The following is a 16217-nucleotide window of genomic DNA, read 5'->3' on the forward strand; positions in this document are numbered from 1 at the left end:
GATGGAAAGAATGTTTTTAATCAAGAATCTGGACAGCTTATTGGGGAGTGCTGGAGCAGCCTCAGAGAGTGGCTTTTAAATTTCACTTTATAACATTTTACAAAAATTAGATGGCAGAATAGAAAACTTCTAAAGAGGTACTAGAAGGCACTGATTCTCTTTATTTTATTTGATTGTTTTAAATCAAAATGATAAACTTAGAGCTCTATTCCATTATATTTTAAACCTGTCATTTTGAGCTAACTTGTCATTTATCTATCTTTTTATGCTGTAAAGTTTATTGGAAATAAGTTAATTCATTTTAATAAATGCTTTGTGCTTTTAGGAGTGAAAAAATCCCACTTGCATTAAATAAAAATACTATTATGATTGCATCTGTAATCATTTCTGTCATGGGAAAATGGTGTTTCTCTAAACCTCTAATGAGATCTGTGCAGGTGTTTGTATATTTGCCATAAATCTGTACCCACACAAAGTTCATTCTGTGGCATAAAAATAAATCATCTCATTCAGGTGGAATTGAGCTCTGACTCAAGAATACTCCTTCTCACTTCTCTTTCCAAAATCAAAGCAACACTTACATTTCCACTGCCATATGCTATCTTTCTCAGCTCTCAAACTACTTATATATACTGGGTTCTTTTCCTTCTGTTATTTCAAAGACATGAGAGAAACTGGAGCATGAAAATGGATTTCAGCTTATGTAAAACCACGGAGTAGGTTTCCTTAGAGACTTAGGGAGGGGGTTTGTTCTGAAGTTATGATGAGTCATCACATACAGGCCTCTGGCCGAACTTGCTATCATATAGTATTTGCATATGAGTAAACAGAGTTGTTCTTTTCATAAGATTGATAAGCACTTCAAGCTTTTAAATTGGGGCCTTCCCCAGTTAAAAAAATATATTTGTATACTATATATAGTATAGATATAGTGCATACATATGTAATTTTTTCCTCAAAAGTTGAATATTGTAAGGATAGGAATACTTGCTTTCCCAAGATGGTGGATAAAGGGGTGGTATGTGGTTTTTATAATTATTTGCTCTAAATATGTAAATTCTGGTTTCTGCTTGGGCTGTGCCTTACTGGGTAAGCTTGGGGAAGTCCCTGATGCCTCCAGTATCTCAAGTTTCCATTTATAAAGTGATGGACTTAGAATTATTGTAAATGAGAGTCAAATCACTTATTGAGCTATTTTCATATATCTGAAAACTTAGAACCATAAAGACTGAGAATCCATATAACAGGGAGGATCATTCGCTTTATGACCTGGAGGTTCAAGACTACAAAGACACAAAGCAAAACCTTAACAGAGCACCAACACCCATTTTCAGTCTCCCCATGGGCAGCCCCCTGTGGGGGTGGTTTGTCCGTGCTCTCTGTCTACTCTCAAAGCAGCATACGCTTCTATAACCAGGAAGTTCAGGAAGAGCTTCATGTGCTTGGATTGATGGCAACATGGTGAAGGAAAACTATTGACAGATATGTGAACATGTTAATTCTTAATTTTATTATGAAATGACCAGCCAATGTTTATATTGAAAGCTAAACATATCTAATATCTGAGCACAATTTGAACATTAATATAATGTGGAGAAAATACAGAGGCCAGCTTCTCTGGCAGAGTGGACATGATTTTATCCATCACAGGATAAAGTTTCTGAAATTGTTAATATTTATTAAAATAACTTTCTTCTGTCCCTAAATATATAAATACATTTCATCCACAAAATTTAAGACATATAATGTATCTAGAAAGTTACTAAAATGTTCTTATATCCTGCAAAGCAACTACATGAAAACATGCATCTAGCTAATGAATTCAATAAGTATGTGTAATTGTAGAGTTCCTTTTCTTAGTTTTCTGTCCTTCATTCACATTCTATTGGAGTAACTCAAAGTGAGGCTGAATAGCATTTCATGCCTTCACAGGTATTAAGCAATTTCCATGAGAAAAAGCAGCTAGTTCAGTTCTCAATTCCAAAGATCACACAAGTGCTTTTCCTCTAAACAGCCCTATGCTTTGATTGTGGCAGGAGTGCTTTATGTGTTCTTCATACTTCCCATTGCCTCACACAGAATATTAAAAAGACCATGCCCAGAAGTCTACATTTAATAAAATTAACAATCATTATTGCTTCATCAAGGGCATTCTGAAGCAAAACTGGCTTATTTTTAAACACCAGTGTAGAGCAATGGAGAGTACAGTTAGCTGCCTCTGCCTTGATTCAAGCTAAGGCACTGTGCTGCTTCTGCTATTACTTTTGAACCAGCAGTGCAGATGTTAACGCAGTCAAAAGGGCAAATAATTTCATTATATTATTATGAATAATTTGCCCATACAGACTCCCTGAACGTGTCAGAGGGAGACCAAGAGGTTTGCTGACTACATTTAAGAACTGCTAGTTTTCATTTTTGGTGTCCCTTTGATGAGTTTTACAATCAATAATATACTAGTTTAATAAAAGAATTCAAAAATGTTCCTTTATTTGCCATGTTCTTGGACCACTTTCAGTAACAATGAAATTATCTGAACTTAAAAGTTTAGGGACACAACCCTATTTTAGTGTCTTTTGGGGAAGTGTCGCTTATGATAACCGTGTGTATTCCTTCCAAATTAATTATTATATTTATATTTCCTAACTCTTAGGAGGTTATTTCAAGTAATTTATATTTGCTAGAAGACATTTCATCAGATGTTCATCTTTTTTTTACATAGAATTAATCAAAGTGGACACTTATGATTTGATTAATTCCTTCATTGTGGATATTTCTTTTTTAAAATCATTTTTATACAACAAATTGGGTATTTTTCCCTTTTATCTTCATTTGGTTAAGTCTCCTTTATAGTTTTGTTATACTTTAAATCAACATTGTTTGCTTTTTACAATTAATTCTACATTTTAATGTTTCAAATTAATTACTTTCTGCTTTAAAAATGTCTTCTTTTGGCCAGGCACAGTGGCTCACGCCTGTAATCCAGAACTTTGGGAGGCTGAGGTGGGTGGATCACCTGAGGTCAGGAGTTCAAGACAAACTTGACCAACATGGTGAAACCCCATCTCTACCAAAAACAAAATAGAAAAAAAACAAAACAAAACCAAAAATTAGCCAGGCGTGGTGGTGGGTGCTTGTAATCCCAGGTACTCCAGAGGCTGAGGCAGGAGAATTGCTGAACCCCTGGAGGCAGAGGTTGCAGTGAGCCGAGATCGTGCCATTGCACTCCAGCCTGGGTAACAAGAGCGAAACTCCATCTCAAAAACAAACTTTAAAAAAAAGTCTTCTTTTTTAAGTTTGTCTGATTGTTCATGTTCTAACCACCTTATATAGATGTTTCTTTAACTTTAAAAATTTTTATTAATATAAAGAGTTAAGGCTATGGATTTTCTTTGGACCTTTGTTTTAACTGTAAAATATATTCTGTTATTTTGGTTTCCATTTTCTCTTGGACAGCAGAATTGTTTAAGAGAAGACTTCTGGGTGGATAGGAGGGTAATAGTATAGTTTTGCAATAGTAGTTATTTTTGCTGTTTTTAAAAATTTGTTTTAAGTTCTATTTTTATTGCATTGTGATTAGGAAAGCTAATACACACAACACACACACAGTAAATTTATTGCCTTTTTAAACCTAATATAAATATTGTTTGTGAATATTCCATGTGTTCTTAGAAAAAAGTTGTTAACTTTGTTTTCATTCTACTGACTTTGATGTATATCAAGTAGACCTACCTTAAAAATCATCACTCTATTTGTGTATTCTATTTTCTAATTTTGTGTTCACTTGAACTATCATTGACTAAGAGAAGTGAATTAAAGTTTCCTGCTCTTAACAGATTTCTATTTCTCCTTGTGCTGTCCCCCTGCTATACACTTTTTTCCTTCATGTGTACTAATGCAGTGCAGTCCTACCTGATATAGATATATTCATACTGTTAGATATTCATTTGGTTTGAAACCGGAATTGTATCTTCTCCATCTCATTTAATACCTTTCACTCTGAATCCAATCTCATCTAATACTGAAATTGCAATCTCTGATTTCTATTTGTGTTTGTCTAATATGTCTTTTCAATTTTTAAATTTTCAATCTTTTCAAATAATTTCATTCTTCTGCTCCATACTGACATATCATCTTTCCAAGTAACATGGCTCTGACGACTTCCTTGTGTAAAACATATAGTTAAGTATTTTTTTTTCTTTTGACATCTGTGTTTAGTCTATTTAAATTTTTATATAAAAAAGAAGCTTGGTTTTATATAGTTCTGTTATCACAGCCTATGTCATACTTTCTGTTTTCCTAGCATGTGTGTATGTAGGGGTTTTAAAAAGTAATTTTGAAATTTGTCTTTGTCTAGTGATTATTTATTTATTTATTTATTTATTTAGTGAGACAGAGTCTCACTCTGTCGCCTAGGCTGGAGTGCAGTGGTGTGATCTCAGCTCACTGTAACCTCTGCCTCCCGTGTTCAAGCAATTCTCCTGTCTCAGTCTCCTGAATAGCTGGGACTACAGACATGCGCCATCACGCCCAACTAATTTTTGTATTTTTAGTAGAGACAGAATTTCACCATGTTGGCCAGGCTGTTCTCGAAGTCCTGTTCTCAAGTGATCCACTCACCTCGGCCTCCCAAAGTGCTGGGATTACAGGCGTCAGCCACCGCACCTGGCTAATGATTATTGTTTTAAGTTTTACTTTTTATTCATAAATGTATTGGTTTCCTATTGTTACCTGTCAAAGAATGATGAAGTTGATATATTTTTATGTCCTTCTTCTTTCCCTCCTTTCCCTTTGACAGTGAATTTTTATTAATTTGTATATTTAATATTTATCTTTTCTTTTATAAATATACTTCTATTGTTTCTTGGTCATTTAAAATAATCTCGATTGATCCTCACCTTGATCTAAAAAATTACTTATTACCTCCTATCTTTCTGTCCTTCCCCTTCCCGACTTTCTTCAGCTGTCTCATTTCTACCTTGTCAGGATTTCTACTATTTACATTCTCTTCTAGTATCGTAATCAACATATTTGTTTTGTCTTAGTCACAGAATTAGTTTCAGTATTTGATATCACTCCTTTTACAATTGATTATCAAACATTTTTTGGTTGATTGAAGTGTTTTCTAGTACTTTCTTCAAGAAGGCTCATGGGATCCATAGCCTATGAGTTCTTGCTTTTTAAAATGTATTTTCTTTTCTTTTATTCTTAAACAACAATTAGAGCATAAAATTCTTGGGTTTTATTTTCTTTTGATGGCTTTGTAAAAAATTGCTCCACTTTTATCAAAGTTGACTGTTTTATTGGGAAATCAGACATTAGCCAGGCATTTTTTTTACAGGTGCATGTATAACATCATCTTTTGGCTTTTTGGCAAAAAGATTCTTTCATTATTATGACATTCAGTAACTAGTAACTAAACTAAGATATGCCTCAGTAGTGATCATTCTACATCATTTTCCTATGGATAAAGGGCATTCTTTCAATATTTAGATTCAACTTTTTTTTTTTTTTTTTTTTTTTTTACTTCTGGAACACTGTCTTTAATTATATACTTACATGTTTTTTTCTCTGTTCCATTATTTTTCTTCCTTTATTCTAGGACTCCAGTTATAAATGTTTTGCATTTCTTTGACCTAAACTCCATATTTAACATTTTCACTATAATCCATTTGAAAATTGGCATCATTTTCTTTTTGCCTACTTTCCTCAAATCCCGGACCTTATGTCTGTTCCTGTGCTGTTAGCCACATCTTTATTCATTCTTTATCAATATTAGAACCTTTTAAAAAGTTAATATTTGTGACCTGCTGTTTGGATTTTTTTTCTATTTATTCCTTTTTTTAGAAAAAGAAAATGTCTTATTTTCGTTCTTTTTGATTAACCATCTTAAAAAAAATGAATCCTTTCTGAACTAGCAAGAAGGACTAGGGCCAACTTATGAGCAAACAGGAATTTTATTTACAATAGCTTTTAGCGTTGAGTATTACGTTTCAGTTTATTCCTCACAAGTCAGCTGAGATTAACACCTCTAGGGCTACTCACATTGTTGTATTTCCCTTCTCTATCTTTCTGGAATACGGGTTGTCTGTGATTTTCTATTCAACTCCAACTTGGCTTTTCTTTGTAACCAAACTAGACGTGAGGAAGCTCTTCACAGCAGCCTACTCACATGTTTCCGTGTGGCCAATACAGTTTTATTGTTCTTGCACGATAGTAATTTTAAAACACGGACATGCACATTCTTTGACACTCTTCTCATTCAGACTTTGAAGTTTGAGGTTTCCCTTAAATCTGAGCGGGGCTGTGACTGCTTTGACCAATAGAGTACAGTGAACGTGATGCAATGGGACTCCCCAGAGGATGACATAACAGGCCATGTGGCTTCTGCCCTATTTTATGGGACACTTGCTCGTAGAATCTGAACTAAGATGTGGGAAGCCCAAGTACCCTGATACTACTGTAGTGGAGAGGCCACATGAGGCACAAGCTTAGACAGTCCCAGCTGAGCTCAGCACTTTGGTCATCCCCTCTGTACCAGATATGTGAGTGAAGCTGTTTTGGATGATCCAGACCAGCTCAGTCACCAGTTGGTTACAACTGAATGATTTCTGTCAAGGCCAAATGGAACAGAGGAATGACTCAGCAGAACACTGCTGAAATTGTTGACCACATTCATGAGTTATCATAAAATGGTTGCAGTTTAAACTTTTAAGTTTAGCTGAAACAAACATCTTTGTGCTGCTTACTTAGAGAAGTGCACCTGGACTGATTTTGTGAGATTTGTAGTTACAGGGTCTCTTGAACTATGTTTTCTTTTACTATAGATTTTTAATGCTTCTGAAGCCACTTTCCTATTACTTACATTGAAATTTTAGCTATCTCATAGTTTCAAGGAAAGTGGAGTTCCCATTCTTTTCTTTTCTTTTCTTTTCTTTTCTTTTCTTTTCTTTTCTTTTCTTTTCTTTTCTTTTCTTTTTTTGAGAGGGAGTCTCGCTCTGTCGCCCAGGCTGGAGTGCAGTGGCGCGATCTCCGTTCACTGCAAGCTCCGCTTCCTGGGTTCTAGCCATTCTCCTGCCTCAGCCTCCTGAGTAGCTGGGACTACAGGCGCCCACCACCACGCCCGGCTAATTTTTTTGTATTTTTAGTAGAGACGGGGTTTCACCGTGTTAGCCAGGATGGTCTCAATCTCCTGACCTCGTGATCCGCCTGCCTCGGCCTCCCAAAGTGCTGGGATTACAGGCATGAGCCACCGCGCCCAGCCTCCCATTCTTTATTCTTAGTTTTACTTTTGGGTGTTATTGAAAAAGGGGAAAAGACAGGACTGTGACTAACAGTTAAAAGTCAAAAGGCTTCTAAGCAGAATATTTCCATAGCAGCTATTAATGAAGATGTTCAAGTCTAGAATATAAAATGACTTTTCTAAAGACATAAAATTATTTCGTGTTAGGTAAAATTCCCAATTTCCTGACTTCCCATTCTTCATTTTTTTCATTATGCTGTTAATATTATAAAAAGTCAATAATGACAAGAATTCCAGATTCAGTGTATGGGATTTATAAAAATACTTTGTTTTCTCAAGTAACAAAAGAAAATTGGAATTTAAAAGATAAAGGACAGAATAATAATTTACTGAATAATAATCTGTAAAAAAACTTTTGTCTAGAACAATTAAAGAAAATATGTAAGTTTTACAATTCCTGAATGGCTTAGTAGAATGCCATATTAATTAATAAAGTTGGATATATGAATAACCAGGGGCTTTTCCAAACATTCTGGTAGTATACAATGAACAAATAATTCACTTTCATTAATGTAGTAATGTGATTTGTTTTGTGTTAATTTACTTTAAATTTCAATTTTACCCAATATCTTCATTTTATATAGAGAACTTAATTTACACTCCATGAAGAAAAATTAAAAACAGATATTTTAATTTCAGAAGAGTCTGTATTTCATTAAAATATGCACATTTAGTATTTTAATTTGCATTTCTCATAAAAAATAAACATGAAACCAAATATTGATTTTAACACAAAATTGTTGTAGTATCTAATAGTACTAGAAATCCCGAGAGTATGCTAAAATATTTTGTTTACTAATGAGATCTGCATCAGATTTGATTGGTAGAGTCATTTATTTATTATGTTGTGGGTATTGTCATCGTGGCTGAGATTACAAAACTGAGTAAAGGAAAATTCCTGCCTTAGACTAAGTTTTAAGTTACTAGAATATACTAAATTTACCAACAATTTACACTTAAAAAAATTGACTTTATAACTACATGGTTTCAAATCATAAGTGCAGGAAGGAAGTAATAAGTAGGGAAACTGACAGTGAATCTAAGATTTCCTGCCTAGGAGTGTTGGCTTGGAACAACATTAAGCAGATATTTAAAGAATTCAGAATTAGGTTTTATGGGGATGTCCCTTTGGATAGTTTTGAATTAGCATTTGACACTGAGTAGTCAATTTGCAATAAGCATTTCAGAGATGGATATATAGTTTTTGAGATGGATATACAGTTACTGAAACTATTAGAGCTAAAGAGTTGTCTCGGATCCTCTAAATAGAATTATAAGAAGACAACAGTTCTCCTTGAAGAGGTCCTTCACGTCCCTTGTAAGTTGGATTCCTAGGTATTTTATTCTCTTTGAAACAATTGTGAATGGGAGTTCACTCATGATTTGGCTCTCTGTTTGTCTGTTATTGGTGTATAAGAATGCTGGTGATTTTTGTACATTGATTTTGTATCCTGAGACTTTGCTGAAGTTGCTTATCAGCTTAAGGAGATTTTGGGCTGAGACAATGGGGTTTTCTAGATATACAATCATGTCATCTGCAAACAGGGACAATTTGACTTCCTCTTTTCCTAATTGAATACTCTTTATTTCCTTCTCCTGCCTAATTACCCTGGCCAGAACTTCCAACACTATGTTGAATAGGAGTGGTGAGAGAGGGCATCCCTGTCTTGTGCCAGTTTTCAAAGGGAATGCTTCCAGTTTTTGCCCATTCAGTATGATATTGGCTATAGATCTGTCATAAATAGCTCTTATTATTTTGAGATATGTCCCATCAATACCTAATTCATTCAGAGTTTTTAGCATGGAGGTTGTTGAATTTTGTCAAAGGCCTTTTCTGCATCTATTGAGATAATCATGTGGTTTTTGTCTTTGGTTCTGTTTATATGCTGGATTACATTTATTGATTTGCGTATATTGAACCAGCCTTGCATCCCAGGGATGAAGCCCACTTGATCATGGTGGATAAGCTTTTTGATCTGCTGCTGGATTTGGTTTGCCAGTATTTTATTGAGGATTTTTGCATCAATGTTCATCAAGGATATTGTTCTAAAATTCTCTTTTTTGGTTGTGTCTCTGCCCAGCTTTGGTATCAGGATGATGCTGGCCTCATAAAATGAGTTAGGGAGGATTCCCTCTTTTTCTATTGATTGGAATAGTTTCAGAAGGAATGGTACCAGTTCCTCCTTGTACCTCTGGTAGAATTCGGCTGTGAATCCATCTGGTCCTGGACTCTTTTTGGTTGGTAAGCTATTGATTATTGCCACAATTTCAGAGCCTGTTATTGGTCTATTCAGAGATTCAACTTCTTCCTGGTTTAGTCTTGGGAGAGTGTATGTGTCAAGGAATTTATCCATTTCTTCTAGATTTTCTAGTTTATATGCATACAGGTGTTTGTAGTATTCTCTGATGGTAGTTTGTATTTCTGTGGGATGGGTGGTGATATCCCCTTTATCATTTTTTATTGTGTCTATTTGATTCTTCTCTCTTTTTTTCTTTATTAGTCTTGCTAGCAGTCTATCAATTTTGTTGATCCTTTCAAAAACCAGCTCCTGGATTCATTAATTTTTTGAAGGGTTTTTTGTGTCTCTATTTCCTTCAGTTCTGCTCTGATTTTAGTTATTTCTTGCCTTCTGCTAGCTTTTGAATGTGATTGCTCTTGCTTTTCTAGTTCTTTTAATTGTGATGTTAAGGTGTCAATTTTGGATCTTTTCTGCTTTCTCTTGTGGGCATTTAGTGCTATAAATTTCCCTCTACACACTGCTTTGAATGTGTCCCAGAGATTCTGGTATGTTGTGTCTTTGTTCTCGTTGGTTTCAAAGAACATCTTTATTTCTGCCTTCATTTCGTTATGTACCCAGTAGTCATTCAGGAGCAGGTTGTTCAGTTTCCATGTAGTTGAGCAGTTTTGAGTGAGTTTCTTAATCCTGAGTTCTAGTTTGATTGCACTGTGGTCTGAGAGATAGTTTGTTATAATTTCTGTTCTTTTACATTTGCTGAGGAGAGCTTTACTTCCAACTATGTGGTCAATTTTGGAATAGGTGTGGTGCTGAAAAAAATGTATATTCTGTTGATTTGGGGTGGAGAGTTCTGTAGATGTCTATTAGGTCCACTTGGTGCAGAGCTGAGTTCAATTCCTGGGTATCCTTGTTAACTTTCTGTCTCGTTGATCTGTCTAACATTGACAGTGGGGTGTTAAAGTCTCCCATTATTATTGTGTGGGAGTCTAAGTCTTTGTAGGTCACTCAGGACTTGCTTTATGAATCTGGGTGCTCCTGTATTGGGTGCATATATATTTAGGATAGTTAGCTCTTCTTGTTGAATTGATCCCTTTACCATTATGTAATGGCCTTCTTTGTCTCTTTTGATCTTTGTTGGTTTAAAGTCTGTTTTATCAGAGACTAGGATTGCAACCCCTGCCTTTTTTTGTTTTCCATTGGCTTGGTAGATCTTCCTCCATCCTTTTATTTTGAGCCTATGTGTGTCTCTGCACGTGAGATGGGTTTCCTGAATACAGCACACTGATGGGTCTTGACTCTTTATCCAATTTGCCTATCTGTGTCTTTTAATTGGAGCATTTAGTCTATTTACATTTAAAGTTAATATTGTTATGTGTGAATTTGATCCTGTCATTATAATGTTAGCTGGTTATTTTGCTCGTTAGTTGATGCAGTTTCTTCCTAGTCTTGATGGTCTTTACATTTTGGCATGATTTTGCAGTGGCTGGTACCGGTTGTTCCTTTCCATGTTTAGTGCTTCCTTCAGGAGCTCTTTTAGGGCAGGCCTGGTGGTGACAAAATCTCTCAGCATTTGCTTGTCTGTAAAGTATTTTATTTCTCCTTCACTTATGAAGCTTAGTTTGGCTGGATATGAAATTCTGTGTTGAAAATTCTTTTCTTTAAGAATGTTGAATATTGGCCACCACTCTCTTCTGGCTTGTAGAGTTTCTGCCAAGAGATCCGCTGTTAGTCTAATGGGCTTCCCTTTGTGGGTAACCCGACCTTTCTCTCTGGCTGCCCTTAACATTGTTTCCTTCATTTCATCTTTGGTGAATCTGACAATTATGTGTCTTGGAGTTGCTCTTCTCGAGGAGTATCTTTGTGGCGTTCTCTGTATTTCCTGAATCTGAATGTTGGCCTGCCTTGCTAGATTGGGGAAGTTCTCCTGGATAATATCCTGCAGAGTGTTTTCCAACGTGGTTCTCCCCGTCACTTTCAGGTACACCAATCAGATGTAGATTTGGTCTTTTCACATAGTCCCATATTTCTTGGAGGCTTTGTTCATTTCTTTTTACTCTTTTTTCTCTAAACTTTCCTTCTCGCTTCATTTCATTCATTTCATCTTCCATCACTGATACCCTTTCTCCCAGTTGATCACATCAGCTCCTGAGGCTTCTGCATTCTTCACGTAGTTCTTGAGCCTTGGCTTTCAGCTCCATCAGCTCCTTTAAGCACTTCTCTGTATTGGTTATTCTAGTTATACCTTTGTCTAAATTTTTTTCAAAGTTTTCAACTTCTTTGCCTTTGGTTTGAATTTCCTCCTATAGCTCGGAGTAGTTTGATCGTCTGAAGCCTTCTTCTCTCAACTCGTCAAAGTCATTCTCCATCCAGCTTTGTTCCATTGCTGATGAGGAACTGCGTTCCTTTGGAGGAGGAGAGGCACTCTGCTTTTTAGAGTTTCCAGTTTTTCTGCTCTGTTTTTTCCCCATCTTTGTGGTTTTATCTACTTTTGGTCTTTGATGATGGTGATGTACAGATGGGGTTTTGGTGTGGATGTCCTCTCTGTTTGTTAGTTTTCCTTCTAACAGACAGGACTCTCAGCTGCAGCTCTGTTGGAGTTTGCTACAAGTCCACTCCAGACACTGTTTGCCTGGGTATCATCAGCGGTGTCTGCAGAACAGCAGTTTTTGGTGAACTGCGAATGCTGCTGTCTGATCGTTCCTCTGGAAGTTTTGTCTCGGAGGAGTACCCGGCCGTGTGAGGTGTCAGTCTGCCCCTACTGGGGGGTGCCTCCCAGTTAGGCTGCTCGGGGATCAGGGGTCAGGGATCCTCTTGAGGAGGTAGTCTGCCCATTCTCAGATCTCCAGCTGCATGCTGGGAGAACCATTGCTCTCTTCAAAGCTGGAAAAAACTACTTTAAAGTTCATATGGAACCAAAAAAGAGCCCGCATTGCTAAGTCAATCCTAAGCCAAAAGAACAAAGCTGGAGGCATCACACTACCTGACTTCTAACTATACTACAAGGCTACAGTAACCAAAACAGCATGGTACTGGTACCAAAACAGAGATACAGATCAATGGTACAGAACAGAGCCCTCAGAAATAACGCCGAATATCTACAACTATCTGATCTTTGACAAACCTGACAAAAACAAGCAATGGGGAAAGGATTCCCTATTTAATAAATGGTGCTGGGAAAACTGGCTAGCCATATGTAGAAAGCTTAAACTGGATCCCTTCCTTACACCTTGTACAAAAATCAATTCAAGATGGATTAAAGACTTAAATGTTAGACCTAAAACCATAAAAACCCTAGAAGAAAACATAGGCATTACCATTCAGGACATAGGCATGGGCAAGGACTTCATGTCTAAAATACCAAAAGCAATGGCAACAAAAGCCAAACTTGACAAATGGGATCTAATTAAAATAAAGAGCTTCTGCACAGCAAAGGAAACTACCATCAGAGTGAACAGGCAACCTACAAAATAGGAGAAAATTTTTGCAACCTACTCATCTGACAAAGGGCTAATATCCAGAATCTGCAATGAACTCCAACACATTTACAAGAAAAAAACAAACAACCCCATCAAAAAGTGGGTGAAGGACATGAACAGACACTTCTCAAAAGAAGACATTTATGCAGCCAAAAAACACATGAAAAAATGCTCATCATCACTGGCCATCAGAGAAATGCAAATCAAAACCACAATGAGATACCATCTCACACCAGTTAGAATGGCAATCATTAAAAAGTCAGGAAACAACAGGTGCTGGAGAGGATGTGGAGGAATAGGAAAACTTTTACACTGTTGGTGGGACTGTAAACTAGTTCAACCATTGTGGAAGTCAGTGTGGCGATTCCTCAGGGATCTAGAACTAGAAATACCATTTGACCCAGCCATCCCATTACTGGGTATATACCCAAAGGACGATAAATCATGCTGCTATAAAGACACATGCACCCGTGTGTTTATTGGGGCACTATTCACAATAGCAAAGACTTGGAACCCAAGTGTCCAACAATGATAGACTGGATTAAGAAAATGTGGCACATATACACCATGGAATACTATGCAGCCATAAAAATGATGAGTTCATGTCCTTTGTAGGGACATGGATGAAATTGGAAATCATCATTCTCAGTAAACTATCGGAAGAACAAAAAACCAAACACCACATATTCTCACTCATAGGTGGGAAATGAACAATGAGAACACATGGACACAGGAAGGGGAACATCACACTCTGGGGACTGTTGTGGGGTGGGGAGGGGGAGGGATAGCACTGGGAGATATACCTAATGCTAGATAACGAGTTAGTGGGTGCAGCACATCAGCATGGCACATGTATACATATGTAACTAACCTGCACATTGTGCACATGTACCCTAAAACTTAAAGTATAATAATAATAATAAAAAAAGAAGACAACAAATAGAACCCAGAGGAAACACAAATTCTAAGGAAGAGATAAATGAAAGTGTTAAAGAGATCTTGGGATTTAAGTATTTGACCACCTTGGACCAATTTCTGTTGAGTGGTGAAGTCAGAAGTCAAAGTGTATTTCATTAAACTAAGGAATGAGTAGGAGTTGAAGAATTACAAATTATGACAATGGTTTTTTTTAAGAATTTTGGCAATGAAGACATAGGGGCTTGGCCATACAAATCTTTATGAATCTATTTTCCTTGTCTGCTTGCCACTTAAAAGGCTGGAAAGACAGTAACATGTTTTCTACCATGCTTTGCCGAGGATGCTATTAAATGGTATGCATCATTTCTATTTTGAAGGTCAGGAAATTGAATCAGAGGAAGCTAAGTGACAAAGCAGTAAATGGTAGTATTTGATGGTAACAAAAAATCCAACATCTCTTAGTCTGCTTCCAAAACATTTTAATTTCCTCCTGTGCCACAAAGTCTCAGGAATATGACATGGTGACAAGGAGATGAAGAGGGTAGGAGATACTGTCAAGTAAAGTTTTTGTTTGTTTGTTTTTTAATAGGCTGAGGGCAAGGAATTGGGACTTTGTGGAATACTAAGAGGAGAGAAAATGGGGATAATAAATGAAGTACAGTCAATCTAGAATATAGTAGGAGATGAAATCCATAATCCTGAGAAAGATGAACTTTGCACAACCTAGGTATTTCCCCATTCGAGACTGAAAATAAGAAGTAAAAATACTTGTTACAGTGTGCAAATCTAAAAGTGATACAGAGAGAAGCAAAGACAAAGCAGCCTTGAGACCAGGACTCTCCTTTGAGAGTGGGAGTGAGGATTGAGACAAGAAACAGGAGCACGAGAAGAGAAGTCAATATTTGGCAGAGCAGCAATCCTGGTGTGTGGGAGGACGGTCTGGCCGATGGTCTGTGAGGGACCACAGAACACAGCATGAGTTCTGCTGCACCTGGAGGTGGTTAGCTACAGTCCATGTAAATTTTGATATGGCCAGAAATCCTGACCCTGACTTTGAATCATGACTTCGACTTGGATATAATCAATTCATTATCAAGCCTTATCAATTATCCAAATTATTTATCAGATGCTCCTTTGTCATATTTTTCCAAGGACCTCAAAATAGGAAATCATATTTATTGGAATTATTACCAATGACTCTAATACATTTATTGCAAAATACTTGAATACATTATCAGAGATATATGCTAGTCAATCTAGCATTTATATATAAGAGAACAGAAAGGCACTCAAATACATAAAGGCTAAAAATATATATCCAATTTTAGCTTAGTATTTAAAATTTATAATTAGAAATTGAGCATATCTGTTTGAAGCTCTGTTCCTCTTTCAATACTACTAGCTCAATAGGCTGTAGTTTAGGGTAAGTTACTTAACCTCTCTAGTTAAGTATTTCCTTAATCTGTAAAATTAACACACTTGTGTCTTTACTGTGAAGATGAAATGAGAAAATGAACATAAAGTGTTTAACAAAGTGGCTGGAATGAATGTGGTAAGTTCTCTCTCTCTCCTCTCTCTCTCTCTGTATACGTATACATTCATATATATGCATACACAGAGAAAGAGCACTTACACATATGTACGTGTGTGTATATATACATATACATACATATATATACATATACAAACCTATATATAGAGTTCTATCAGTCAAGCAAGAGATTAAACAAAATTTCTGACTGAAAAAAGGAAAGTCATGGTATTAAATAATTTGCAGTGAGTATTGAAACCATATAAACATAGAACATAAGGTAAATAAAGTTGAATGTAATTATAAGAGAGAGCAAATCTTTCTCTGAAATCACTGACATGGACATTCTAGTCCTCCAATATACCTCTCATCCTCTTAGATAAAATGCTTACTTATTCACACTATAACAGGCATCTCTGGTTTCACTGAGACATCAATTTCAATTTCTCCCTATGCATTATCCATTAGCTACCCGCTACCATCTCTTCTATTTGTTATGGCTTCCGTGATCCATCTTTTAAACCACTTTCTTGTGAATACATAAAACTCGTTTACTCCAGTGTCTTCCCAACTCCTTGGCAAAAAATATCAATTTTTAATGAATATAATTATTTTTAGTTTGTATACATAACTCTAGGGATAGTAGCTGTGTGCTACTAGAGATAATGTAGAAACAAATAAACTGATTCCTCTGTTAATCTGTCCTTTTCTGGGGTTTAAAGCCTGGCAAGTAATCTTGTGATATTTTTCTAGTT

Source organism: Homo sapiens, chromosome 6 (assembly GCF_000001405.40).
Source record: "Homo sapiens chromosome 6, GRCh38.p14 Primary Assembly".
NCBI lineage: Eukaryota > Metazoa > Chordata > Mammalia > Primates > Hominidae > Homo > Homo sapiens.